The sequence below is a fragment of the Homo sapiens genome, chromosome 2, assembly GCF_000001405.40.
Source record: "Homo sapiens chromosome 2, GRCh38.p14 Primary Assembly".
NCBI classification, from domain to species: domain Eukaryota; kingdom Metazoa; phylum Chordata; class Mammalia; order Primates; family Hominidae; genus Homo; species Homo sapiens.
The window spans coordinates 19,858,401-19,885,716 of record NC_000002.12 but is presented as its reverse complement, the minus strand read 5'-3'; the positions used below and the strand labels follow the sequence as shown (position 1 = coordinate 19,885,716).

The 27,316-nt window shown below is 49.8% G+C and overlaps 1 long non-coding RNA gene across 1 annotated transcript, besides 3 other annotated features; it reads right to left on the bottom strand.

Moving 5' to 3' along the window:
• Nucleotides 1-669: 669 nt before the first annotated feature.
• On the bottom strand, nt 670-16,863 carry LINC00954 (long intergenic non-protein coding RNA 954). The gene is made up of 10 exons (NR_033875.1): nt 16,765-16,863; nt 16,104-16,221; nt 15,171-15,315; nt 13,121-13,324; nt 12,353-12,585; nt 9,774-9,914; nt 5,517-6,481; nt 2,982-3,102; nt 2,069-2,159; nt 670-1,567 (listed from the first exon to the last, which is right to left on the bottom strand). It is a non-coding gene; the product is annotated as a long intergenic non-protein coding RNA 954 (long non-coding RNA).
• Nucleotides 17,102-17,151: an enhancer, noted in NCBI's record as "active region_15365". NCBI's record gives its function as "activates an Ori minimal core promoter by ATAC-STARR-seq in GM12878 lymphoblastoid cells {active_cell/tissue: GM12878}" and the evidence as "EXISTENCE:reporter gene assay evidence [ECO:0000049][PMID:35858748]".
• Nucleotides 21,706-22,206: an enhancer, noted in NCBI's record as "H3K4me1 hESC enhancer chr2:20063272-20063772 (GRCh37/hg19 assembly coordinates)". NCBI's record gives its function as "activates a minimal SCP1, AML or CMV promoter by ChIP-STARR-seq in primed H9 embryonic stem cells {active_cell/tissue: H9 hESC(primed)}" and the evidence as "EXISTENCE:reporter gene assay evidence [ECO:0000049][PMID:30033119]".
• Nucleotides 23,000-23,500: an enhancer, noted in NCBI's record as "H3K4me1 hESC enhancer chr2:20061978-20062478 (GRCh37/hg19 assembly coordinates)". NCBI's record gives its function as "activates a minimal SCP1, AML or CMV promoter by ChIP-STARR-seq in naive H9 embryonic stem cells {active_cell/tissue: H9 hESC(naive)}" and the evidence as "EXISTENCE:reporter gene assay evidence [ECO:0000049][PMID:30033119]".

Genomic DNA, 27,316 nt, shown 5'->3' with positions numbered 1-27,316 from the left:
TTCTCCTCCTTCCCCCTGTAGTTCTTGGCCCGGGACTCCAGCTGTCATAGCCTTGATTCCTGGCTGACACCTGCACTACTGTGTGTTATGCCCTTGGCTTCTCCTGCTTATAGAGCTCTGACCTGCCCAGGTGGCTCCAGATTGCAACTTCCTTACCAAGGCCTCTCACTCCCCTCAGAGGTGTTTCCTCTTCTCTGTACAGTCACATCCATCAGATTGTACCAAGGGCCTTTTGCTTTTTAAAGCAGTTCAGGTTCTAGTCCAATGAGGACATGCAAATTCTATCTTATTAGGAGTCCCTTAAGGGCCTCTTTTCTGTTCTTTTGATGTTCTTGGTATTTCTAAAATCCTGATAATGAACTGGGGCCTGAGGTCCTCAATGGGGAGAAGCCAGCATATTGAAGCCTTTATGGCCCAGCAGGAGTCCCGGCTGGGACTTGGATACCTGGCTGTCTTCATCACCAAGGCCAATGGGTACACCCCCCACTTCCCAGCCCTTACAGCTAACCAGTACCTGATGCTCAGCTAGGTTAGCAAGAGGGACCACCCGCTTTAACAGCGAGAAACATTGCCCTTCTGAGACGGCTATGTAGGCCAGGAAAGAGTGTGGGCTGAGTTGAGATCTCAGTCCATTACAGCATGATCTGGAAAGGAGGCAGACTCTGTAACTGGGCTCTAGGGAACCATTCTTACCACCCTCCTCAGAGGCTGCTTCAGGGTCTGGCCAGGAAGGGCCCCAAACAAGAGGCCTACATCTAAGGCAGTCAGTGTACACAGTGGGGAAGAGAGTCATGCCAGAGAATCTCTAAGTCAGACTGTGTTTTGTGGACTCCCAGCGTGGAGCATTTACCCAGGGGGTGGAGATGGTCACAAAGATGTCACTGGAAGACTCATGTGGAGAAGTGGGACAAGCTGGGCTTGACAAGTAGGACAAGTCATAAAAAAGTGTAGGGAGGCTGCAGGCAGACGTGTTCCAAGTGCTCATCGAGAGCTCAGAACTCTGGGCAGCACTTAGGGCTATGGCGGTACCAGGGCAGTTTTCTCCTCCACTAAATGCCTCTAGGATGCAATAACCATTCTTGCTGCTAGCCTTCTTCCTTGCTAGTAATATGTCCGCTGGTACTTGAGAAGCCAGGCAACATGGCTTAAGCCAGGCATCTCATTTCACTAAAATTCCAACAGGCTTCAAGGGCCTCTGCAGCGGAGTGCCAGGAGTTGTCCCTTGCTTTAGGAGAGGCAAGATCAGTGAGATAGAACACTTCCAACAGAACAGTGGGGCTGACAAGTGCTGGGTTAAATGTGCTTATTACACTGGGAAGCTGTTGTCACGTGTCATTCATGGAATGATGTACAGGTCATCTTGGACAGGACCAGCACAGTGGCCACCACCGTGACCAGGAAGCAAGATGGCCAGCCAGGGCCACAGCCAGGACCTTCAGGCACTGTTCTTTGAGGAGGAGGAACGCAGAGTTTCAAGGGCGGCAGGGGCTCGCATGACATGCTTTCCACAGTTCCCACTCAGATCTTGATCTTCTTTTGGCTTGTGGGCATATAAGTCCTGGAGTCACTGGAACCAGAGCCAGATGGTCAAGTGCTCTCTTCTGGCCTGAGTTCAAGGTGTGTATGGGGTGAGGGACTCACTGAGGCAGGAGGACTAAGATCTATGTTCATATGACCTCTATTCTAGGACTGTCTCCTAGAAGGGTAATCAGACTTGTTAAATGTTTCATAAAATGCCTGAAAATTATCGTAGCCAGACACTAGGCAAGTGTGATGGGCAAGAGCCAGGGGTTTTTGGCCAAAGAGCTCTTAGAGCTCACTCAGCTCTGGAGGAAAGGCCTCTTCAAGAGTTCCTCAGGCTGAGATGTAGGCATGACATGCAGAGTGCTTGCTGTTCAGGGACTTCTGCAGGAGGGTGCCATCTGGTCAGGACTTGAGGCAGCTTTCAGAAGGGTGAGTTTGTTTGGAGGGATGGAGGGGGAAAGTGCAGAGAACTTTATGGGCAGGACCTTTGGGGCAGAACTTCTCAGTGTTGCTACTGGACACGTGGCTAGGGGCCTGCTCTTACCTCCTTCTCTCTCCTCTGGATAGTACTGGCCACCACAATGCCCGTCAGGGTCCAAGTGTAGGCAGGATTGGGTCAGGTGGTACAGATACACCTGAGAATGGAAGTGGGTGAATAGCAGAAGACTGAGCATTACAGCAGGACAAACCTTAAGGAGCCAAGGATCTGGAAGCTTCCACAGCATCTCGAGCTCGGTGTGGGCAGAGGCCATTCTGTTCTAGCAGGAACAGAAGTTCCTGTCTCAGGGCCTTGGGAAACCAAGAGTGACCCAACAACAATTCCTTCCCACCCACACTTTTTCCTAAGACAAAAGCCTTATGGGACCTCTTCCCAACTGGCTTTAGTAAGAGGGCAGGCTTTCTTCAAGGAGACAAGAGGAGGAGAGGAGGAGTTAAAGTGTGAGAATGGGATGGGGAAGATAATGAGCTTCCTCCTGCATCTAGGCATGAAATGGGATTATTCTGAGGGTGTTGATCAGGAATGAGTCAGTTTCGTTTCCTCTTAGGAAGTCTACTTATTGAATGCTTTATCAATACTTCTAAAGTCTTCAGTGACTTTAACGTTAATGCTCCATTTTGCAGAAGGTGGTAAGGTTCAAAAAGGAGACATGACCTGTTTAGGTCACAGAGTCAACAACTGTCTAAGCAGAGGATCAGCTAGGGTCCCACTCATGCTAGGCTGCCCTGTCCCCACCCTCCATGCTTAATCTGGTTACCAGTTGCCATCTGTCAGACTTGACTTCTAAACGTTGATGCCAAGTCACCAAGCAGGACATGTCATCCAGATCTCTTTATAAAAGCCTAGGAAGTACTTGGGACCTGGGGCTCCCAGGGACTTTGCTCAGTGTCCCCATACTGGCCATATAAACAGGAATCTAGGTTCCTATTTAGCCCTTTCTGGTTCTCTGAGATCTCACCTCTTTGAATCTGGGTGCCACAAACTTCACCAGCTTCTTGACCAATGAGGGGTATTGGACCTTCTCACCCTGGGAGACAGGGTAAAAGTCTACCTCTAGCAGGTTATTCTCTTTTTTGCAGCTGTCAGGAAGAATTTGGAGACAAACAAGGAGTGAGGCACTCTGGAGAAACCTTGTGTCCATTCCAGTAGTTATCTGAGGACTGGTGAGGACTGGCTGACCCTTTCTTATACATGAGGAAGTATGAGTAGGACTGGGGCGGGGGCTTGAGGCTGTTAGAAGTCAGGGGAAGTTCCTAACTGAGAAGCTGCACAGAAGTGATGGAAGTCTCATTTGGTAGACTCAGATCTATTGGGAGATTTGGTCCTGTATTAGTCCCTTCTCACACTGCTATAAAGAAATACCCGAGACTGGGTAATTTATAAAGGAAAGAAGTTTAATGGACTCACAGTTCTGCATGGCTGTGGAGGCCTCAGGGAACTTACAATCATGGCAGAAGGCAAAGGAGAAGCAGGCACCTCCTTCACAGGGTGGCAGGATGGAGTGAGTGCAAGCAGGGGACATGTCAGACACTTATAAAACCATCAGATCTCGTGAGAGTCACTATCATGAGAACAGCTCCGGGGAAACTGCCCCCATACCTCCACCCTTGGTCCTGCCCTTGACAAGTGGGGATTGTGGGGATAATTCAAGATGAGATTTTGGGTGGGGACACAGCCTAACCATATCAGGTCCTCACTTTGGGGATCTTGCTTTAGCATGTAAGATATTCTTACAGAATCTTGGGCTATATCTGGTAGGACTGGGGTTCTGGTTCTGCCCTCTCAGCTGCTAGCTGAGGATATGTACCTATTTATTATGTTCCACTGGGGGCTGCCATCAAATTCTGGTGACTCTGACACCCAACACTTGTCCAGGAGTAATTCTGCTGAGGCATCTGCAAAGCTCATCAGTTCTACCTCAAAGAGTGTTGACTATGGCTGATTCACAATGGCCATCTCCCCATGGTGAAACTCAATGAACGACTCATCTTAAGAGAGGAAGGGCTTGGTGAACTCATGGACAACTTTCTTCTTCTGCCCTTTGTCCCCCAAAGTATACTCCAGAACACCCTTACCTTGAGCTACTCTTGCCTGGATCTCCAGTGTCTGTCTGCTCTCTCTGAGGCCCTGCTGAATGAGAGAATGTCAAGCTGAGGGCACCCAGGCAGAAATACTCAAAGTTCTCCCTCTGTTCCCCAGCCACTCCTTGACCTCGGACCTGGGACTGCCATACCACCATGCCATCTCCTGGTGGCAGGACAGCTTTCTTCTTCCACCTGTCCTTGTGCCTGTCCTCTTGGGCCAATGTTTCTTTAACTGAGTAGTAGCAGAGCAGCATCAGCCTAGGACAAGCATGGAGGCAAGAGCAGGCTCACTGGTTTGTAGAACTGCAGAGCAAGAAAGGACTTGAAGGAACTCTGGTTCATGGACAAGACAAGGCAAACAGACTCTGTACCAGGGAGGCAAAGAGACTTCAACGTCTCAACTTAGGAATGACAGCATTGGGGCTTGAGGCTGGAAGAGATAGCCTACTATCTGTTCTGCTGGTCTTCTCCATTGGTTGGTGGGCTATGTGCATGGTGGATCATGATTTAGTTATGCAATGATTTGTTTCTAGCAACACTGCTTAGTCTATCAAAGAAGAAGGTCTGTCAGTATTACTCCAATTTACATCATACCTCCAATATAATAAGTATTAGGTAAGGAAGTAAAATAGGACCTAAAAAATGAAAAAGAGAACATGGAAACTGAAGCATTTTGGGGCACTGTCACTGATGTTTTGAGTTCCTCCTGCTGCAAACTATACACTGGCATTCTCTTCCCTAGTCAGCTGGAATTTCCTGAGGACAGGGGTGGGGACAACAGTGAGATGAAGCTCAGGGGCACAGCTGACTTCCATTCATACAGTGGCCATCTCACCTGTAGTCTGGATATCTTGTAATTGTGGGCCAGCCCTTCATAGCAAGGGTTCCTTCTCATACATGATTCCCTTTTCATATATAATATAGTCACCTTCAAACTACATAACCCAAGATTTTAGAGCATATGGAGAACATGGGTGATACGGTTTGGCTGTGTCTCCACCCAAATGTCATCTTGAATTGTAGCTCTCACAATTCCCACATGTTGTAGAAGGAACCCAGTGGGAGGTAATTGAATCATGGGGGCAGGTCTTTCCTGTGCTTTTCTTGTGATAGTGAATAAGTCTCATGAGATCTGATGGTTTTTTAAAGGGGAGTTTCCCTGCACAAGTCTTCTCTTCTCATCTGCTGCCATGTGAGACATGCCTTTCACCTTCTGACATGATCATGAGGCCTCCCCAGCCATGTGGAACTGTCAGTCCATTAACCCTTTTTCTTTTGTAAATTGCCCAGTCTCAGGTATGTCTTTATCAGCAGTGTGAAAATGGAACAATACCACAGGACTGAGAAGAAAAAGCTTAGATGGTATGCTAAGGCCTGGCAGGAGCAGGTGGCCCTTTTGCCTTACTCACCCTCACTGAGGTACCACGGCTGGTGACGTCAAGTCAGAAGAAGGTTTGGTTGCTGCTAGACTCTGTTGGCTTGCAGGTGCAATCCTTCAGTGTGGCCTTGCACATGTCAATGGAAGGGTCTGTGGCCATCATGGAAGAGATGGCCACAGTCCCACTAGGGAAACACACTAGGAACACAACCATAGTTCTCACAACCATCCTGTTTCCAACCATATTTTGATCAAAGTCTGTTCTCTATTTTACCTGGCAGTCCTTGGACGAGGCTGGGCTAAGCCTTTATGCTGCTCCTTGAGGTAGGACTTGGCTCCTGACCCCAGGGCTTTTCACAAGTTACCTCAGACACACCCATTTAAAATGCATTTTTAGGCCATCAAGTAGGTTGTGGATAAATATTGGAATTTGTTCATTTTTATATGTATTATTTGAGGGGCTGAAGGCAAAACCTGGATACTATCTGAGGCATGGTGATCAGGTTGGGGGCCCTGCCTTCAAGAAAGTCAGCTCAGAAGGGAAAATAAAGACAGTCAAGGACAAGTAACTAGTGCAAGGCAGAAAATGGTTATGGCTCTGATTATGAGAGTTCAAAAGGAAAAAGTTGGGGGGAGAGGGAGGAACCAGAAAGGAGATCCAGTGGTTGGCAGGCTATGTGGTTATAGGAGAAACAGCATTTGAAATGGGCTGTGAAGCCTGAGACTTCACATAGGAGGCGAGGGGGGTTAGTTTTCCCATAGAAGGTATGGATGTGACACACAGCAGTGTGAGCTGGTCTCGATCATCTCCCCAGGGAGTACAGACCAGTCAGCCTGGAAAGATCTCACCAAGGCAGATGCACAAGGCCTTCTTCATGCAGGATGGGGGCGGTGCTGTGGTTCTAGACTGGGATCAGCAGTGGGCCTGAAGACAGGGTTGGGAGGTGGGATGAAGCAGCATGGGGACCCAGAAGCCCAGCTTCTCACCAGTGAGGTCTGAAAAGGGATAAATGCATGGGAGCTGGTGTCCCATGTAGAGCTCCAACAGGAGAGCAGGTCAGTTACTGGGGTGGCCAAGTATAGGTTCTCACTGTCACAGGTGCCAATGGCCTGGGGAAGTCCTGTGAAAAGTACAGGATGGGTAAATGGGACTCAGGTTGGGGTCCGATTCTCCTTATTGTCCAGCCTTGACATAGCAAGACTGAAGAGTCTTGTTGGAGGCCTTTTCTCTCCCAATGGGGTAAATCCATGGAGAAGGTTTCTGGAGTCTCTAGCATGTCAGTTTTCTTTGGGGCCACCTCAAGCTGGGCGCAAATCCTCTGGAGGGAGAGATCCTGGGACCCACCCCACAGCTGGGTTCAGTTTCATCAGAAACAGATGCCACGCAGTCCTGGCCATTGGGGCAGATCTGGCAGCTGAGGCCTGTGGGGCCCAGGATGCTGAGAGTCGCCCAGGGGGCCTGGGATCTGGAAGCCACTTCTTTCTAGTTCTAGGGATTTTAATGGCATGACATGCACCCAAACACAGGCCATTCCTCACAAATGCTGTTGTAGACTGTATTAGATACCATACATTCTGCTCCCCGAGAACACTGGACAGGGATTGCTCAAGCCCGCATCCCTGGCCTGGGAGGGGCTTCCACAGCCGCTGTTTGGACAGAGCCAATGCAACTTGTTGGGCACCAAGACCATCCAGGCACTTCCTTGTGTCTGAAGTGACACACCGCTGTGACTGATGGCCCAGGACAGTGGCTGCACAACTTCTCTCCACCCTCCTTAGCCCGTCAACCAGCTTAAGCCCTCGGGGGACCCCCTCATACAGCGCCCCTGGAGAAAAGAGTTGCACTGCCAATAGCAGATGGGTGGAGTTATCTGTCATGAGGACTATGTCAAGGGGTCCTGGCCTACGGCTCAGGTGCCAGTGTCCCATGTAGAGCTCCCAACAGGAGAGCGGGTCAGTTACTGGGATGGCCAAGTATAGGTTCTCACTGTCACAGGTGCCAATGGCCTAGGGAATTTCTGTGAAAAGTACACAATGGGTAAATGGGACTCAGGTTGGGGTCCGATTCTCCTTATTGTCCAGCCTTGGCATACCAAGACTGAAGAATCTTGTTGGAGGCCTATTCTCTCCCAAGCATCCATTTCTCATCACTCCCCTTTGGCCCTTTTACTTTTCCACTGGAGCCCTAGTGTGAAGGCCCTTAAGTGAGATGCCTTTTATTTTTGATTCAGCGTCTCACTCTTGCCCAGGCTGGAGTGCAGTGGCACAATCATGGCTACCTGCAGCCTCCATCTACTGGGCTCAAGTGATCCTCCCGCCTCAGCCTCACGAGTAGATGGGACTACAGGCATGTATCAGCATGCCATGGTAATTTTTAAATTTTTTGTAGAGACGGGGTCCCATTATGTTGCCCAGGCTGGTCTTGAACCTCTGAACTCAAGCAATCCTTCCACCCAGGCCTCCCAAAGTGCTGGGACTATAGGCATGATCCACCTTGGTCAGCCCAAGAAGGCTTTTCTTTTCTTTTTTTTTTTTGAGACAGTTTCACTCTTATTGCCCAGGCTGGAGTGCAATTGCGTGATCTCGGCTCACTGCAACCTCCACCTCCAGGGTTCAAGAGGCTCTCCCGCCTCAGCCTCCTGAATAGCTGGGACTTCAGACGCATGCCACCAAGCCTGTCTAATTTTTGTATTTTTAGTAGAGACAGGGTTTCACCATATTGGCCAGGCTGGTTTCAAACTCCTGACCTCAGGTGATCCACCCGCCTCAGCCTCCCAAAGTGCTGGGATTACAGGTGTGAGCCACTGTGCCTGGCCAAAGGCTCCTTTTTTTTTTTTTGAGACAGGGTTTCACTGTGTCACCCAGGCTGGAGTGCAGGGGTACAAACAGGCTCACTGCAACCTCTGCATCTTGGGTTCAAGCAATTCTTGTGCCTCCTGGGTAGCTGTGATTACAGGTACATGCCACCATGCCCTGCTTTTTTTTTTTTTTTTTTTTTTTTTTTTGGTATTTTTAGTAGAGATGGGGTTTCACCATGTTGGCCAGGCTGATCTCGAACTCCTGGCCTCAAGTGATCCACCCGCCTCGGCCTCCCAAAGTGCTGAGATTACAGTGTGATCCACTGCGTGTGGCTGAGAAGGCCCCCTTTTTAAAGAAAAGTCTTATCTCGTGGGAAGTCAGCAGGAAAGCCAGGGATGGGGAAGTGGTTCTGGCACTAGATCAGCAATGGCAGTTTCTCAGGTTACAGCTGTGTGAGGTCTGTGTTCACGGCCTTGGGTTCTGAAGTGTAAGCTTTTGGTTAGGACAGTGGGGAGATAGGGGATTTGGGCTCTGGTCCAGCTCCATACTATGCCAGCTGTGTGATGGAGCTCCTCTCAGAGCCTAATGCCACCTTGAGTTTTACCCATCTTGCAGAGCTGTGGGGCTCAGAAGAGAAGGACTCCATCTTTGGAGAGCATCTTGGTGTTCAACATGCTTTCACTCTTCAGCCTCCTTAGAGGGGGCCAGTAGTTGGAGAAAATGGGGATTGGATAATGCTGAGTTCCTTGCTTAAAGTTTGCAATGGAACCAGGATTCAGACCCATTAGATGGCACCCTGAAAATGCTTTGAGGATAGAACAGTGCCATCTGTGTGGCAGCAAGCCTTCAACACTAGAATCCTAGTGACCTTAAGAGGATGACACCTAGCAGAGCTATAGGAAGGAAGACAATATACCTGTTTTCTTACTTCCTGGAGCTGTCAAACCTATAGGCAGGCCTAGTCAAGGGGCAAAAGATGACTCACCTGGAACTTTCCTGTTTTTATATCCTTTCCCTGCTATCTCTACATTGGGTACCTAATGACCTTGCTGGGAAGAAGGCCATGTCTGATTTATACCAAGGTCTTGATACCACTGGCTACCCTTACTGTGACCTTGACAGGAGAAGTCTACCAAGGTTAATATTTCAGGGGTGGTGGCACCTGGGAGGGAAGACTGTATGGGGTACGTTGAGTCCTGTTCATGTCATTCCTGGCATGATTTAAGTGAAGTCTTACTGCTGATTGTATGAGCAGCCACCCATTCTCTGTATTACTTCATGAGTCTGCCAACAGCTGCTTCTATACTGGGTTTCCAATCCCAGGATGCAGACAAGCCACTTGTGAGGAGTTACTTCTGTGTAGCCCCAGTGGGACCCCCCTCCCATGGGAGGGGCTTCCACAGCTGTTGTTTGGACAGAGCCAGTGTAACTTGTTGGGTACCAAGACCATCCATGAGTCCAGGACCAGCACCTCACTTGGTGTACTTACCCACATCCTTGAAACTATATACCATTTCTGCAGGGTAGGAGAATGGTTTCCCATCTGGACCCACGCTCAGCATGTAGTTCACATGGAGGACATAGTGGGTTTCATTCCTGTTCATGTACTAGAAGACATCACAGGAACAGTCTGCAAGTGATGGATAGAGTAAAGTAATTCAAAATCTAAGCTGTTAGAACCTCAAAACATTTTGAGCCTTAAGGGAATGTGATTATAGGACCTGAGTCACATAAACATGCAGCTGTAACCTTTGTTTCTGATTACAGATTGGTCATTTTTCTTACCTACATGTTTTGTAAAATGTTGTAAATGACTAAAGGGTGCCAGGGAAGACCCCTTCCCTCTTAACTGTTGATATTCAGTATAGATTAACTTCCCTCTTTCCTCTTCCACACAAAGTCTTCATGGCTATGGGATTGTCTAAGATGGAATGTTAACTACTCTTAAATTGGAAAGGAAATGAAAACAAGCTGTAAAGAAAACAAACTTTATGGAAAAGAAAACAAACTAAATTGTAACTCATAAAACAGCCTTGTATAGAAAATGATAAAATCCTACTGAATTTCTTTATTTTCTGCCTATATAAGCAAGACCTTAACTTTTAACTTCGGAGCACTTATTCCATTTCTCTGAAGTCTGTTTCCTGTATGGTCATTCCCAGCTTTTTGCTTGAATAAACTCTTTAAAACTGGATTCTGATCCTTTCAATTATTTCAGGTTGACCATAGCTTAGAGCCATGCTGAGCAAAAGGCTGCCTGAATTTACGAAGCCACTTCTGGGTAGTGACCCTAGGACAGCCTCCTGCCCCCTTACAGCATCTGCTCAGGCTGGACAGCATAGCAGAGTAGGCCCTGTCCTTGTGTGCCCACCACCTGATGGGGGGCTTGAGACCTCAATCCAATGAGGATGTCCACTCTGTCACGTACTCGAGTGGCTACTGGTCTCTCCATTACAGTGTTTCAAACTGCTCCAGCCTGCCAAGCTAGATTAGACAAGACGTGCTCATGTAATTTAATGACCTGTGAGGGTGGGGTGGGTGAGAGCTCTGCCTATGAAGTATGTTACCTGCCCAGCAGGTAACACTATCTGGTAAGCTATCTGCTGGGCAGAGGATCTGTCCAAACTGACAGCTTCTTACCTGGACATGAGCACTGGCTGACCTCTTTAATCACTTCTGTGTCATCAAGGACACTTCAAGCACAAACCTTTGTGTTCCATCTGGGAGGGAAATTTCCCAAACCTTATACCCAGGTTCATCCACTTCTGAAATAGGATAGGGCACAGTTCTGATCCCCATTGCCACCAACTGGTCACCAGGGAAGACAGCTCCAAAGGTGATGTTGAAGAGTCTTGTCCCAGGGACCGTGTCTGTTGGAAGTTCTCATCTATTACAGCCTGTGGTTTACCGGCAACAGACTCTCCCAGTCTCCCTTAATTAAGTCCTCAGAGCTAAGAGCATCCTGTTTTCTCTTTCCTGTGAGGGGACTAGAAAGGACTAGGGGTGTCTGTGTCCTTTGATAATCTTCTCCCCTTTCCCCCCAAAGATGCTCTTGTCTCTTAGAGTCAATCCTTCTTTAGCCAGTAACTCAGGAACAAGGCCGAGTGAGGAACCACAGGAAGGATGTGATCAGCGAGGGCCATTTTGAGAACATAAGCCCATTCATAAACCCGAGGGCAACCCAGCAGCATCAGTCAAAAATTGCCAGCCATTCCTTATGCAAATAACCACTAACATACTAGCCTCACCATCCCAGGTAAGAGTGCAATTTATCCAGCTTTGTCCCTTTGTATGTTGGCTTAAGTAGCGGCTGAACACAAAAAAATAAGCTCGCATGTGAGGGCTAACCACAATCTTCTTTGTGTAGATTATAGGCTCATGGAGGTCAAAAGAATCCTTACTACTGTTGTCTCTCCTCAGGACCGAAAGTTATTCAATCACATTAGAGTCTGAATAATAGTTTTTTTTTTTCTTTTTTTCTTGGAGACGGAGTCTTGCTCTGTTGCCCAGGCTGGAGTGCAGTGGCATGATCTTGGCTCACTGCAAGCTCTGCCTCCCGGGTTCAAGTGATTCTCCTGCCTCAGCCTCCTGAGTAGCTGGGATTACAGGCGTGTACCACCACACCCAGCTAATTTCTGTATTTTTAATAGAGATGGGGTTTCACCATGCTGGCCAGGCTGGTCTCGAACTCCTGACCTCAGGTGAACTGCCTGCCTCAGCCTCCCAAAGTGTTGGGATTATAGGCATGAGCCACTGTGCCTGGCCTGAATGATAGTTCTAAAGGAAGGTCTATATCATGTTTTTAAGCATTAATTGGATGATAGGCTAGAAAGTTGATGTTCTGAAGCTTTTACTTCTAAATATCAAGATCACACTTTTGACAGAACTCTGAATGCACTTACCTAGCCCTTAGTTACAGGCTACAAGTGATCAGAACTCAAACTGAATCAGTCTATGGGCATATTGAGGCCTAAAGGTAGAAGCTGGCCCAGATGGGATGGGCTGTACTTGCTAAAACTTGAGCCCTTATGCCAAGTCAGTATTCCTGCTGTACACACTAAGACCTACCAGGCACTCTCCACGTGGTCCTCTTTGGGGCTTCGTTCACACCAAAGGATCATCCCAATCCTGCAAAACTTCAACGGAAGTGGCAGGGAACATAGTAATACTGAAGCTTGTGGGCATGAAAGGAGTTCTGTTTTGACCACCATCAACTTGGTCACATGCCAATCAGTGTCTGACCACGTGTGCTCCAAGAATAGGTGGATGCTATAGCTTGCACCAGATACCATGATGTCACTCTATGAGAAACAAAGAGGCAGCAGATGAGAGGTGTGCTGTGGATGAGGCACTTTGCCAACTGCCTTCCCTAGAAAACCATAGCTGGCCAGCCAATCGGGATTGAGACAAACTTCTAGCTGGAGTTACAGCTGTGATGTTATACCACCCCATGAGATCACACCTCAGTCCTACCCAGGGGCACTCTTTAGAGAGAGGCAGGTATTGAGTTATATTAAAACCTAGAGAAGATGATACAGGAGTTGTTTGAGATGAAATAAACTTCCTATAAGTAAGACCAGATGCCTAAATCCTGAAAACATTCATCTATTTGCTCCCACATTAATCTATTTGCTCCCTGGAACATGACCAGTTTTGATTAGAATTGCTCATAAAGATAAAAGCAGACTTAAGCTATTTGACCAAGCTGAGATTACTTTTGCATCAACCTAATAGTACTCTGTGCTCAGAGCTCACAGATGTCAGTTAAAGAGCATCCTCCTGATCTGTCCCCACTCTCGCTCTCCCAAGGATTAGAGTGGGGTAGATGAAACTCACCTGGTAACTTCAGCCTCATTGCTGGAGTAGGGCTAATGCAGGAACATGCAGGCCCCAGAGCTGTTGAAGCCATAGTCCTGCTTGGCCATGTGGCTCACCAGCATAATCCTCCCTGTGGGATGCTGGAACATCACCTGCCATAGCTTGTAAGTGGTTCCTGAGCCTGACAGACAGGAGCGGGGTTGACCGTGCAATCAAGGAGATCTAAGGAGTTGAATGCAAGGCAGGAAAGAGGCACTTGTTCACTTACTTGTTCTTACAAAAAAGAGGTACTTGCTTCTCTCATCTCCTCTCAAATGCAAGACAACCAGATCTTTTACTAAGTTGGCAAGATAGAACACTAAAAAGGCCCAAAAATCAAGGCTGACCAGAATCTCCCCCCAAAAAATACTAGACACAGGGCTACTGCTTGGAGTTGTGCAGGCTGTACAAGTTACATAGCTTCACTCAGCAACCCTCACTGTCCCTCCACCACCTGGCTCGGTGTGAGCAGGGCTCAGCAGAGAGGACCGGCAGAAGAGGCTCCCAGTTGGAGGCAAGACTGGCAAAGACAGGGGTACCTCCCCAGGTAGGCAAGATGAGACAGGTGGGGCTCCTGTCTCTAGGATCTCAATAGGCTGCAGGGAATTTGAAGGCTGTGATGTTGCTTGCAGGCTACCTGCACACTGTATGGGAGAGTGGTAGGCAGGTCCATGTGGGCTGGCCAGGGATTGCTTGGTCAGTCCTCAGTCCTACCATGGGGAGTGCATCCAGCCAATGCTGACATCCATTGCTCAGGGTCCTGGGCTTCAGAAACCATGGGCAATTTGATCCTCACAGACACCTGCCAACAAGCAAGCTCTTCATGCAGCTCTGTCTCCTGACTCCCCTCCCCTCCTCCAGTTACAAGTGTCTTAGCCTCTCCTTTGGGATCCCTACACCACATGGCTGTAAATGCAGATTCCCAGGACCTGACCCAGCAGATACCCACACAGGTCCAGTTACATCTCCTGGAGCAGGGATGCAGCCTAAGGGTCACGTCATTCATAGGAATGGCCTTTCTTGTTGGGACCTAGGTTCTCATGAGATATCCTAAGGGCCGAGGGCCTGGTTGGGGCACCAGCTTTGATGCTACTTCTGAGCCCAAGGCAACAGCAATGAGCCACGTGGTTGGATGATGACTGTGTACAGCCCACCTACCTTTAGGCCTCTGTTCCTTACCTGCCAACCTAAATCAAGATTTGAAGTTGTATTTTTAATTGACTCATAATAACTGTACATATTTATGGGATACAGTGTGATGTTTACAATGTGTAATGATCCAATCGGGGTAATGCGTATCCATCACCTCAAACCTTTATCATTTCTTTGTGGTAAGAGCATTCAAAATCCTCTTATAAATATACAATATAAATTATAAATATGATAAATATACAATATACTATTGTTAACCATAGTCACCCTACTGTACAATAGAACATTAAAACTTATTCCTCCTAACTGGAATTTTGTACCTTTTAACCTATCTCTCCTACACTTCCCAGCTACCTGGAACCACTATTCTATAGTCTCTACTTCTGAGATCAGCTTTTTCAGATTCCACAAATGAGTGGGGTCACGTGGTATTTGTCTTTCCGTGCCCGGCTTGTTTCACTTAACATAATGACCTCCAGGTTCATCCACGTTGCTGCAAGGGACAGGATTTCATTTTTTAAAAGTGGCTGAATGGTATTCCTGTGTGTGTGTGTGTGTGTGTGTGTGTGTATCTAATCTATTTCACATTTTATCCATTCATCCAACTGAGGGACTGAGAGGGACTTAGGTGGATTCTATATCATTGTGAATAGTGCTGCAATGACCATAGGAGTGCAGAGATCGCTGACATTCTGATTTCCTTTCAACTTAATCAAATCTTGTTTCCCGAAAAGGGTCTATTTCATGGCTGATAAGGCTTAAGTACTAAGGGACTTGGTTCCATGAAAATATCAAGTGTGGCCTCACTTCATAGAACGAAGGAGGTAGTTTCGGCCCCAGGAGACCCAGCATTCTGGCTGGGGTTACCTGTGCTCACCTCCATGTAGTTCCCTTCAGAGAATCTTCCTCGAGGCCCATGTGAAATAGGGACAGGACATGGTATAGTTGTAGGTGGTTTCTTCACCAGCTTCCATGAACCCAGACACCTCGATGTTCACACTGAGGGAAAACCATCTATTATCCTGGAAGAAGGGCAAGAAAGCACCGAAGTCCCAGGGAAGATGAGGCAAGAATCAAATAGGGAGGTTTGGCCCAGTCCCACCTGGCTCAGTGGGACTGAGGTACGGGTCTCTTGTTAGTAGACAGACGGCTGGAGGTGTGCAGGGAAGGGAGCATGATGAAATAGAGCAGGTAGAGATGCACAGAAGAGACTTAGGATTTAGTGATCTGACACTAATCTCACCTCTGTTCTGTTGAAGTGCTCCTGCTAGCTCCCTATACCTTTGAACCCCTAAATCCAGGCATAGCTGGGGCCCCAGTCTCCCCGTCCACCTTGCTGACATCGTAGCCAGGTTAAACCCTGCTATCCCACGAGTCTCCTTCTGATTGCTCTCATCTGCAGTTCTACCCCATGCCTCATCTGAGCGCAAGGTGCCTGCATGCGGCTTCCTCTAAACTCCTACAGCTTTGGGCCTCCTGCCACACTCTGGCAGTTCCCAGCTGTCAGTTACAGCCACCTGGAAATGCTCTTTTTTTTTTTTTTTTTGGTCCACCTTACAAAGGTGATCTATTCATTAGAGGTCAATCCTGGCAAGGCAAAGATGGAACTGTGGTCTCTGTTCTTAGACACAAGAGGACTCTGCAGCTGTGAAGACAGCCTGTGCCAGGCGGAAGCGATCTGCATCCAGGAGGGGATGCTGGATTCCCCAAATGTCCTCAGTGCTGAGGGCAGGGCCAGATTTCTTCCATATGAATCTTGGACACCTGTTTCCTGGGCAATTGAACAAGGGCATCTCAGAAGCTTGCTCACCTGGTTGACCACATGACAGGCCAGTACAGAGGCCCTGAAGGTTTCCCCAGGCGTCTTCAGACAACACGTAGCCACAGCGTGGGGCCACGGGAGGTGCGGCAGCTGGGCATCCAGGGGTCTGCAGTGGAAGGAGTATGGTCACCTGCCAGCCTGGAGGAGCCTGGGGGTCCTCAGAGTCCCTGGCACCAGAATCACTTAAGGCAACGCTGAGGGCTGGTCCCAGGGAAGCAGACCCAGGGCGTCTCATAGCGGGTGGGGACAGGCAGATGGGTGGGAGAACCGATGCTGGGCGGCAGGCTGTGGGGGGCAGCTGCGCGATTCTGTATCCTTGCTGGACCCCAGGCAGGCCAGTCTTTCTGGGTTGGGCGGGCTAGCAGGGAACCTGGGTGGGCTGGGGGTCAGGAGGTTGTTTTGGGGACACCGGGCTGCAAAAACCCATGAGTCCTTCCCCTGTCACCAGTAACTTCCGCGTAGAAGGCTTTGTTGTCTAGAGAGCCTCATCCGGAAGATGCCGGCGGGGCAGCTGCTCTCCACGAAGCCTGTGAAGCCCGGGTCGGTTCGGGTCAGTTAGAGAAGGCGCGGCCCCTCCCTGCTGCCCTGTGGGAACTCCACGTGGGAAACGGGGGGCTTGGCGGGCACTTGCATCCCATCCTTCACTGACCTGGGCGGAGCGAGAGGGTCGCTTGAGCGCCGAGGCCGGGGCCATGGCGACAGGAGCAGAAAGAAGAGCCTAGGCAGGAGAAGCGGGCGGGTTGGGCACGGCGAGGAGGAGCAGGAGGGGGCGGAGAGTGGGACGACCGGGCCACACCTACCCTGCAAGCAAGGGGCCCGCGGCGGGGACTCCACTACTGGGCTGGGGCGGGTCACGCGCTGCCCGGGGCTTTATCCGCGAGGCCTCCCAGGCGCTCCACCAGGTGTGGAAGCCAGGTCAGGTGCGCTCCGCCCGGGTGAGCTGCACTTCACTGCGGTACCCCAGCCTCAAAATTCCCCGTACAGTTCTGGGAGCCCTTCACGGCTATGCCCTAGGTGGACTTCACACTTCTGGGACAAATTAAGAGTGTCCTAGGATTCTTGGATTCAGCTGTTAAAAAGAAAAAATAAAATCTTCGGTTTTTCTTAAAATGTGTTTTAAGCATAAAAAATACATAATACAAATGCACAGTTTAAGGAAGTGATTCTACAGCAATCACATCATGTTCTTGATCACCCACAGCGAAGTATTGCTGGCACCCCTAAACCTCCCCTGCCTCCTCCTCAGTGGTCCCGATTTATTCAACTAGCCTTATCTGTTCTCCCGGTTTTAACATCACTTTCACGGCTGCGGAACTTCTGTGCAGAATTGTTCCCATTCTCTTGAAGGCTTAGGTTGTTTGCACTATTTAGATGTTATAAATAATGCTGAGACAAATATTTGTTCACAAGGATGATTTCCTTAGGATAAATTCTCAGTACAGATGAGGAATTTTCAGCCAATAGCCATCTTTATTTTCAAGGTTCTTGGAATATGTTGCCACAGTTTCCCCCCAAAGAGTTTTGCCAATTAACCATCCATCGGCAAGTCAAATCAATAAGTGCCTACCCTGAGCCAGTCCCAGGGAATAAATGGCAGATCCATGTTTAAGTCTCAGTTCCATCACATCCTTGCCAGCATTTGGTTTTAGTTTTCTGAGATTAAACAAATTTTTTAGTTTGCATCTCTCTGACGTTAGAAAGGCAAAACTCCCACGTGTGTCTGCTTGCTAATTAGAGCATCTTCTAATTGTATGTGTGAACTGTCCATTTACTTCTTGGGATGTTGATGTTGACCTGAGGCACTTGGATGTATTCTTTATGTGGTAGAGATAGTTGCCCTTTGCCATTTTTGTATGTTTTCAGAGCTGAGTGAGACCTGGAATTCACGTGGTCCAAACTCCTTACCATGGGTTGAACCGTGAGCCTCCCTCCGCTCCCCTCCACCCCAATTCTGCCACAAAGATATGTTCATTACCTAACCTTTAGAACCTGTGAATGTGACCTTATTTGGAAACATAGCCTTTGCAGAAGTAATTGGGAGTCTGAGAAGAAGAGTTCATCCTGGATCATCTGGGTGGATCCTAAATCCAATGTAAGTGTTCTTTTAAGAGAAAGGCAGAAGGAGACTTGGGATAGAAGAGTGGACAGCAGTGATGTGAAGACAGAAGCAGAGACTGGAGTTCTGCTGCCGCAAGCCAAGGAACACCTGCATTCACCAGAAGCTGGAAGAGGCCAGGAAAGATTCCTCGAGGCTTTGGAGGCCCTTTCCACAAGTTGGTGTCAGATTTCTGGCCTCCGGAACTGGGAGAGAATAAATTTCTGTCGTTTGAAGTCACCAAGTTTGTGATGCTTTGTTGCAGAGGGCCTAGAACAGGGATACAGCCTCCATTTTGCAGGTGGGAAGGACATGAGGGCCCAGGCTTATTCAGGGTCATTACTAAGTCCAGAGTTGAGATCCTAACCCAGGGTTCTTTGTCTCCTAGGCCATGAGACCAGGTGGAACATTTTCCCCCAGATGCCTCTCTGGTGTGCAACTGAGACTTCCACGGGGAACTCTGTAGCTGTAGGAATGGAGTGGGTGAAGTGAGCTCACACACTGATGAGCTCAGACCGTGAGTGCAAGGACCTAGGCTCTAGTTCTGGCTCTGCCACTTATTAACCTTGTGCTCTCAAATGAGTTATGTGTGGGCCTCCTAACAGTCTGAATAGCATCCTGTTGCTGCAGCTCCATGGTCTTTGCTTAGTGCCCTTGAGTTGTTGAGATGTGCAGACTTGTTTTACTCCATGGATGCTTTACAAGTGTTGCCTCTTTAGGGGTAGTGGCTACATGAGCAGAAATGGCACCATACTTTCATTTCTATTTGGTGGCTACTTCTCTTGATGCTTTAACTGTTACTCATACCCCTAAATCAGCTAGAGGGATTTGGGACACACCGCCCTATAACATGAAGCCTGTAGAAACTGAGTACTTGGACAGGACAAGAAAAGACAGGGATTTCTTTTCTTTTTTGAGACACAGTCTCACTCTGTTGCCAAGGCTGGAGTGCAGTGGCGCAATCTTGGCTCACTGCAGCCTCAGCCTCCCAGGTTCCAGTGATTCTCCTGCCTCAGCCTCCTGAGTAGCTGGGATTACAGGTGGGCACCACCATGCCCGGCTGATTTTTGTATTTATAGTAGAGTCGGGGTTTCACTGTGTTGGCCAGGGTGGTCTTGAACTCCTAATCTCAGGTGATCCACCCACCTCTGCCTCTCAAAGTGCTGGAATTACAGGTGTGAGCCACTGTGCCCGGCCAAGACATGGATTTCTAAGTGCTGTATAGCTGGGTATGGTCTCATTTAAGGATTCTGCAAAAAGATCTAGTGCTAGCTTGTCCACTGATAGACACTAGCATATGCAACTACTGAACACTTGAAGTGTCACCAGTGTTACTGAGGAACTGAATTTCTCATTTGAATTCATTTAAAATAAAAAATACTGGCTGGGCACAGTGGCTCACGCCTACAATCTCAGCATTTTGGAAGGCCCAGGTGGGAGGATCACTTGAGCCCAGGAGTTCAAGACCAACCTGGACAACATCGTGAGACCTCATGTCTACAAAAAAATAGAAAAAAAAAAAAAAAAAGCTGGGGATGGTGGTGCATGCCTGTGGTCCCAGCTACTCAGGAAGCTGAGGTGGGAGGATTGCTTGAGCCTGGGAAGTCAAGGCTGCAGTGAGCTATGATCTCACCACTGCACTCCAGCCTGGGTGACAGAGCAAGACCCTATCTCCAAAAACAACAACAACAACAACAAACCCAAAGCCAACAATTCAGTTACTAAAAAATTTTAAAGTACGGCAGTGGAGTGGGTGAAATGAACTCACACTTCATGTGAACACTTTGTTTGGAACAACAAATTCACATTTAAAGTATGTGAATCTGCCACTGCAAAGTTTATGAAATCTAAATACAGATCAAGTATTTTCAATGAAAATTTAGCACCCAAACTGAGATGGGCTGTTAAGTGTTAAATATATACCAGATTTTTAAGAGTTAGTATAAATAAAAGAATGTAAAGTACCTCTAACATTTTCATATTGTGTCAAGATGATAATATTTTAGATATACTGGGTCAAATAAAATAATGTTAAACAATTTCACCTGCTTCTACCACTTACTCGCTCTGTGGTTTTGGGCAATTCCCCTAAACTCTCCAGGCCTCTGTTTCTGCTTATCTAAAGTCACTGAGTGGAAAGGCCCTGCAGGCTCATCTCAGGCTGTGGCTGAGGGAGGATGAGGACACTTAGTGGGAGGGGTAGTTCTGCAGCCATACTGTAAGGCTGGGTCTTGGGAGGGGTCACAGCCCCTAGTACAACAGGAATGCCCACCCCCACCGCTAGCATGAGGGTACATCTTCCCAGGGCTTGAAAGTAAGATTTACTTGACACACTCTGCCTAAGAATTGGCTCTGAGCTTGGTTTGTTGGTTCTGTCGAAGGTAGTAACAACCGCATCCTTCTAGCTTCTTGAGCCCTTCCTTCCTCTCCACTGAGCTTCTGAGCTGGGTGGGCCTAGGACCCTCCCTGTCCTCTGTCCCTGGGCTCCAGGGCCCTGCCTTGGACCTGCCTGAGTAAGGGAACAAGTAGAGGGGCCTGCCCTGCTCTTCTCTGGGCTTTCCCAGTCTTCTCTAGGCGGCTGGAGGGGTGGGGATGAGGGCAACAGGGGACAGCAGCTTCTAGGATGGATACTTGGGGTTCCAGGCTGGATAATTGTGCTGGTGGTGGGGGGATCGGTGTGAACTTGACCCTGAGGCAGTCAGCAAGGGGCCCTGGGCAGCTTGCACGTGTATGTTTTGGTGTGGGGGTGTGATCAGGTCTGTGTGAGAGGAAGGGCAGAGGCTTTGCAGAACAGCAGAGGCAGATGTCTCTGATTTTGATCACTTAGTTCCACATACCTGGGGCTGCCTGAGATACGGTGCAGCTGTTTTCTGTCGTGCTGATATGCAGACAAAGCTAAAGAAGAGCCCGCGACCACTGAGCACCTGTTACGGGAAAGGTACCACGTGGGGAGCTTTAAGCACCTGCCATCATCGAATCTCCGTGGTAACCCAAGAGAGGAAAGGCCCCATAGAGAATTTCCCGAGGCTGCAGAGCTGGGCGGGGCAGAGATCGGATTTGAACCCAGCTGTCTGATATCAAGGCTTGGGGTCTTGAAGACAAATGGCTTACCCAGGGTGGGGTGGCTCACGCCTGTAATCCCAGCACTTTGGGAGGCCCCAGGCGGGCGGATCACTTGAGGCCAGGAGTTTGTGACCAGTCTGGCCAACATGATGAAACCCCATCTCTACTAAAAATACAAAAATTAGCTTGGTGTGGTGGTAGGTACTTGTAATCCCAGCTACTCGGGAGGCTGAGGCAGGAGAATCGCTGGAATCTGGGAGGCAGAGGCTGCAGTGAGCCGAGATCGCGCCATTGCACTCCAGTGTGGGCGACAGAGTGAGACTCCATCTCAAAAAACAAAACAAAACAAAACCACACACACACAAAACACAAACAAACAAAAAACAAGTTGCTCACCCTTAGCTGCACGTGTCCTCAGAAGCGGTTCACTATAACCCCAGTGGCCCTGGCTTCAGGGATGGGAATCGGGGAGGGGCCAGTCCTGGAGCAGAGCCTGGCCTGGAGCCCAGGTGGCGCTGAGTTCGCTCTGCTCCTGACGCCAGTCCCTGGACCCTGCGGTGTGTGTTCCCAGGGCGGGCAGGAAGGCTCTTAGAGGGTGAGCCAGGCTGTCCACAGGCGGCCTGAGGGGTCTGAATGGGAGGGCCAAGCGGCCTAACTCATGCGCGGTTTGCTCTTTAAACAGCTGCGCAGGTAGTCAGATGGCCTGTGAAGGTGGAGAAGGCCTTGCTGTCCCTCCTGGGACCGGGAGTCTCAACTTGCAGTCCAGAGGACATGGGACTCAAATCGGACTCGGCCACCGCCTCCTGGCCTGAGGCTGGCGGATCAGACGCTGCTGCCACCCGCCTTTGGGCTCGAGCAGGTCATTTTCCACATGGCCACTGGGTGTCGCCCTCGCTCCACGAGTGGGCCGCCCTCGCCTCTGTCCCCGGCTCCTTGAGCGCCTACTGTGTGCTGGCCTGTCCCGCGCGGGGAGGTGGCCCCTTGGCCAGGCTCTGTTCTGAAGGCAGATGGGCCTGACTCAGCCAGAGATGGTGCTGTTGCTCCCTGTAAACGCAAGCTGTTTGCAGACAACAGCAGGATGTATCCCGACTGTGTAAGAGCATGCTTTTCTGTGGATGGTATGGTTTGGCTCTGTGTCCCCACCCAAATCTCGTGTTGAATTGTAATCCCTATGTGTCAGGGGACGGACCTGGTGGGAAGTGATTGGATCAGGGGGGCGGTTCCCCCCTGCTGTTTGTTCTCGTGATAGTGAGTTCTCACGAGATCTGATGGTTTAAAAGTGTTTGGCAGTTCCCCCCTCTCTCCCTCTCACCTGCGACCATGTGAGGTGTGCCTGCTTCCCTTTCGCCTTCCACCATGATTGTAAGTTTCCTGAGGCCTCCCAGCCATGCGGCAACTGTGAGTCAATTAAATCTATTTTACTTACAAATTACCCAGTCTCGGGCAGTTCTTTATAGCTGTGTGAAAACAGACTTAATACAGTAGAGGTCTTGGCTGTGTAGTCTTGGAGGCTCACCTGTTTAAGGAGTCTCCAGACCTCTTGGTGTCCGTTATTACTTTTGTGCCCTAGCTCACTCCCTGGGGCTTGGGAGTGCTGGTAACAAGGCCCCGTGCCTTATCGAGCAGGGATGGAAGAGCCTCTGATGTCTAGTCACGTGAGCGTTGCTGACAGCCGTGGAAAAGCCACTGCCCAGGGGGCTTGCACCTCGCAGATGCAGGAGGTCCTCACTGGACCATCTGAATGTGCTGGGAGGCAGGTGGAAGAGACCATCAGCCACCATCCCCGGGCCATCCGTGCCACAGGTGAGTCACCTGAGGTCACACAGGACAATGGCTTGCTCAGGGTTACTCGGCTGGTTGGGGCTGAGGTCTCCTCTGCCTCAGTTTCACCCCAGAAAAGGTGCTGATCACAGGCTAAGTCATGATACCCCCAAATTCGCATGTTGATGTTCTAAACCCCAGTACCTCAGAATGTGATGAAATAAGGAAATAAAGAATTTCAAATAAGGAAATACAGTGGTTGAAGATGTAGTTAGTTAAGGCAAAGTCATAGTGAAGTCAGGTGGGCCCCTAATCCAACGTGACAGGTGTCCTTGGAAAGCGGGGAGACTGGACACGGCAGGAGGCAAGAGGCCGTGCACGTCTGCTGTTTAAGCTGCTCCGTCTGTGTGGCATTGTTGCGGCAGCCCCAGCAAGCAAATCCAGTGCCCACGCCTGGGGGGCTGCTCCCGCCCCTGGACTCTGCCCTCCTGAGCCTCCCACTGTGACCCCCAGCTTTCCTTTGTCTCCTTACTTGGCCCTCTGGCTGAACAACTCCTCTTTCTCTCCCCACTGCTTCCAAGACTCGTATTGTGCTCTGTGTTCCAAAATGACCCAGCCTGCATCACTTCCCAAACAGATCTATTTTTTCAGAAAGTTGAATTCTAGCAGAAGGCAGCAGGAAAACAGCCTGATCAAGCTGATTCACACTAAGGGGTGAGTGACTAACACCTGGGTAGTGTGATTCCAGGGAACAGCCTCACTTAGCTCTTCTAGGACACTTACATGTTCAAAGAGGAGTTTGTTAATTCCTAAAGAGGCCCTTTTGCCAAATGGAGATTATTTTGTAATGTGAATGTTTGTCCCCATTACAAGTCACTCAGTTAACAAGTTAGCATGTTTTCTTTCTGTGTCTCTGCTGCTGACTCAGGGGCCCAGGACTGGCTCTGGCTTCTGCACAGGCAGGTGTCCTCTTTGGAGGCCACCCCCACCATCCCCACTGACAGTGGTAGCCTGAGCCCACTTTCCCACTTCCCTCCTCAGTAGGAAGGACCAAGATGGGAGCCCTGCCCAGCACTCCCTGCCTCTTCTCCCCATGCCCCCATGGCTCCACTCTGGTTTTGTAAGAGTGGGCTTGCTCATTCGCTGTGATAGGGCTGCTTTTAGCCTCCCTGACCAGACAGGTTGCCCCTGGGGCTGAATATGTGGCCTCCTGGCAGTGGGGCTCTGTGGAAGTGCTGAGGCCCAGGAAATGTGGCACGGGGCACTACACGTCTGGCTTTAATGAGCTATGGCCTTCAGCTGTGGAAGGCTGGTGGTGTGGGGAACTGAAGAGTTCTGGGAGGAGGTTGGGGGCGAGGGGCTGCCTTCCAGGCAGGGTGCAGGAGCCTTGGAGAAGGTGCTAGAAGCTGGGGTTCCTGTGCCAAGGGCTGGGAAGGCAGGCAGAGTCCTGGTTGGTGGAGTCATGGATAGGGGCTGGGGTGGGTGTGGGGCTGGATGGTTTGTCCTGCTCCCATGCCAGCCTCCCTCTGAGTTTGTGGGCCCCTCCTGAAGTCTTGGTGTGCCTGGACCTGGGTTAAGCCACACTGCAGGGAGGTACATGTGTACAAAGTGATCTTTCTTCCAGAAGAACACAGTCTACGAAGGCATTTCTGCAAACTTGTGAGATGCCTGTGCACACCTTGTGGTGGCCCTGAACTGATGGCTGAGGTGTGCTATAGAAATTAGAGAAGGGAGGAAGAAGTTCATTGCCGGTTGAGCAGTTCAGGGAAAGCTTCCTGGAGGAGGCGGAGTTTGAGCAGGGCCAGTGGGGATGGAGGGTTTGTCCTGGAGGAAGGAGAAGGAGGGCAGTCAATGCAGGGAAATAACACACCTGACATGTACTCATGTTAGGGGCCACGTCCGCACCTCTCAACTCCCTTGCTCATCTCCAGGGCTTGCATCTGACTGAACTTCCCACTCTTCCCTCTCTACTCCAAGCCTCTCTGGCCCCCCACCTTTGCCCATGCCCCCATTCTCTCCAGCTTGTATGTGTATCTCACCCCCGCATCTTGTTAGCTCTGTATGCTGAAATCCTGCTAGCGTGTCCGGACACTTCTTGTTGGTTTCACCTTCCTCCATTTCTCTCAACCTTCCTCTCTGCACCAGAATCCGATCCATCTTCGCCTCACTTGGCAATTATAATCATTCAACCTCCCCCAAACCCTTGTTCATAGCCCAGCACACATCTGCAGGGCCCACAGTTTGCTGGGCATTGGGGGTGCACATTTTCTGCCTGCAGAAGTCCCAGGACTGGCAAGGTTCATACTGAGATGCCAGCCTGGGGACTCTGCCAAGGCCTTGGCAAACTTGTCTCAGCATCTCCCAGGCATTTGCCCCTTCCTGCCAGGAACAGGGCAGAGGCGGAGGTGACTGTTTCCCAAGAGCAATGGGCAAATCCATCTTGCTTGGGTTTATTCTCGTCATTTCCTGAAGTATTAGGTCACCCAGGTTGTTAGTGAGGACCTTATTTGGAGAGCCTGGCTTCCTGGTATGAAGTGGAGAACCTAGGAGGGGCAGGCCCTCTGGTCTTAGTGGCTACGCCATCAGAAACACAATCGTGTTTCTCTTTCACCGCAAGCACTGGGAATTGAAGTATGTACGGAAATACAATTCATAAATTGAGGGACTTTATTTTCACTGTTCCCAGGGTTTAATTTCCAGAAACAAAATGTCAGTGTTATGGCTGAAGTTCTCTTAGTTTTAGGAAACACATCATAACCCAGAATTGTTTATGCATAGTTCATGTATTATATGACAAGAACGGTTTTGAGAGTCATCAAGGGTCAGAGGACTGCGGTTACACGGCAACAAGGCGATCTGAGTGTGGTGAGTGTGGTGAGTGTGGGGATCCAAACCTCGATCTTACGTCTCCCCTCCCAGGAAAATCCCAGGGAGTGGTTGTTCTTCTAGAAGCCTGCAGCTGCGGGTAACCGGTTACCAGGGAGTGCGTGGACCTGTTGCTCACAGAGAGCCTGTGTGTGTGTGTGCATGTGAGCATGTACTTATGCGTGTGAGCATGTGTGCCTATGTGTATGTGCGTGTGCATGCACACTTGTGGTTAGTGTGAGAAAGAACACTGGCCGAGGCAGGAGAAATGGGCTACAGTCCTGCCCACCCACTTGTTACCATTGTGGCCGCTCCCCTGCGTCTGCAGTGTGGGTGCACGGATCCCTTCCTTAGAGGTCACCCAGCATTTCATGACATCTGTGTATTAACAGCAGAAGTGAAGGGGCTCTCGGGCAGCCTTGGGGATTCTGGAAATGCCCACTGGAGGAGCTGAGGCTTGCTGGACACTGGGCGTGTGGTCCTTGGATCTTTCCCAGTGGCGCCATGGGCCACGGATTCCGGCGGGGCTCAGGATCCAGTGGCTCTCCTACCTCCTTTTCCTTCACGTGGGTTGTTGGGCCCCTCCTGCATGCAGCGCAGCCAGGTGGTGAAGGTGAGAGCCGCTGCTGTCGCTGCTCCTGGCCTGTGGGAGAAAAGTCCCTCCAAGGTCACCTTTGTAGCTTGTTCATGAGCAGAGCATCAATTGGATCTAATATTTTTACAAGATGCCCCCCAAATAAAGATCAGCATTTGGCTCAGTTCATTTCAGCAGAGGGCTCAGCTTTGTCTGCTGCCCTGTGTATGGAGGGATAGACAGGAAGCGCCACTTCTAGAGATAGCTCTGGCTGCTGCCTCTCAGGAATCCTGGCCTGGGCGGCCTGACGGGGCTACCAGCTTCCCTCCTGAGGATCTGTTGGTGGCTCACACCAGGTAGGTTTAGGGGTGAGGGCTGGGCGCACCTGGCCAGGGCCTCTCCGCAAGTGCAGAGCCCTTGGTCCATCTCGTGCCTCCACTGGGATCCCCGTGTCTCCGCTTCTGCCCTGTTTCAAACTCCAAACAAGATTTTCAGATGGCAGAAACTGAAGCTTGGAGGAGAACAACTTAGATCAAGTTGACTTAGTGTTTGCTCTCAGCCAACGAAGCCCTGAGGCTGCCTTCCTCAGGGAGCTTTGCCCACATTTCTGAAGAGTGTGCAGGGCACGTTTCTGGAGGACAGAGCCTGCATTTCCAGACAATGGCTTTCAGAGGATGCTCTCAGGTCTCCCGTGTGCCCTGCCTGTGGTTAAGTGTCTTTCTGCTACATAAACAGCTCAGAGACTCAACTCTCCCGAGACCGAGACCGGAGAGGAGCTCTTACAGTGGTAAGAATCCACCTTGCCTCTGGCAAAGTTGCTCTGGATGAGGTTGATTGAGCTGC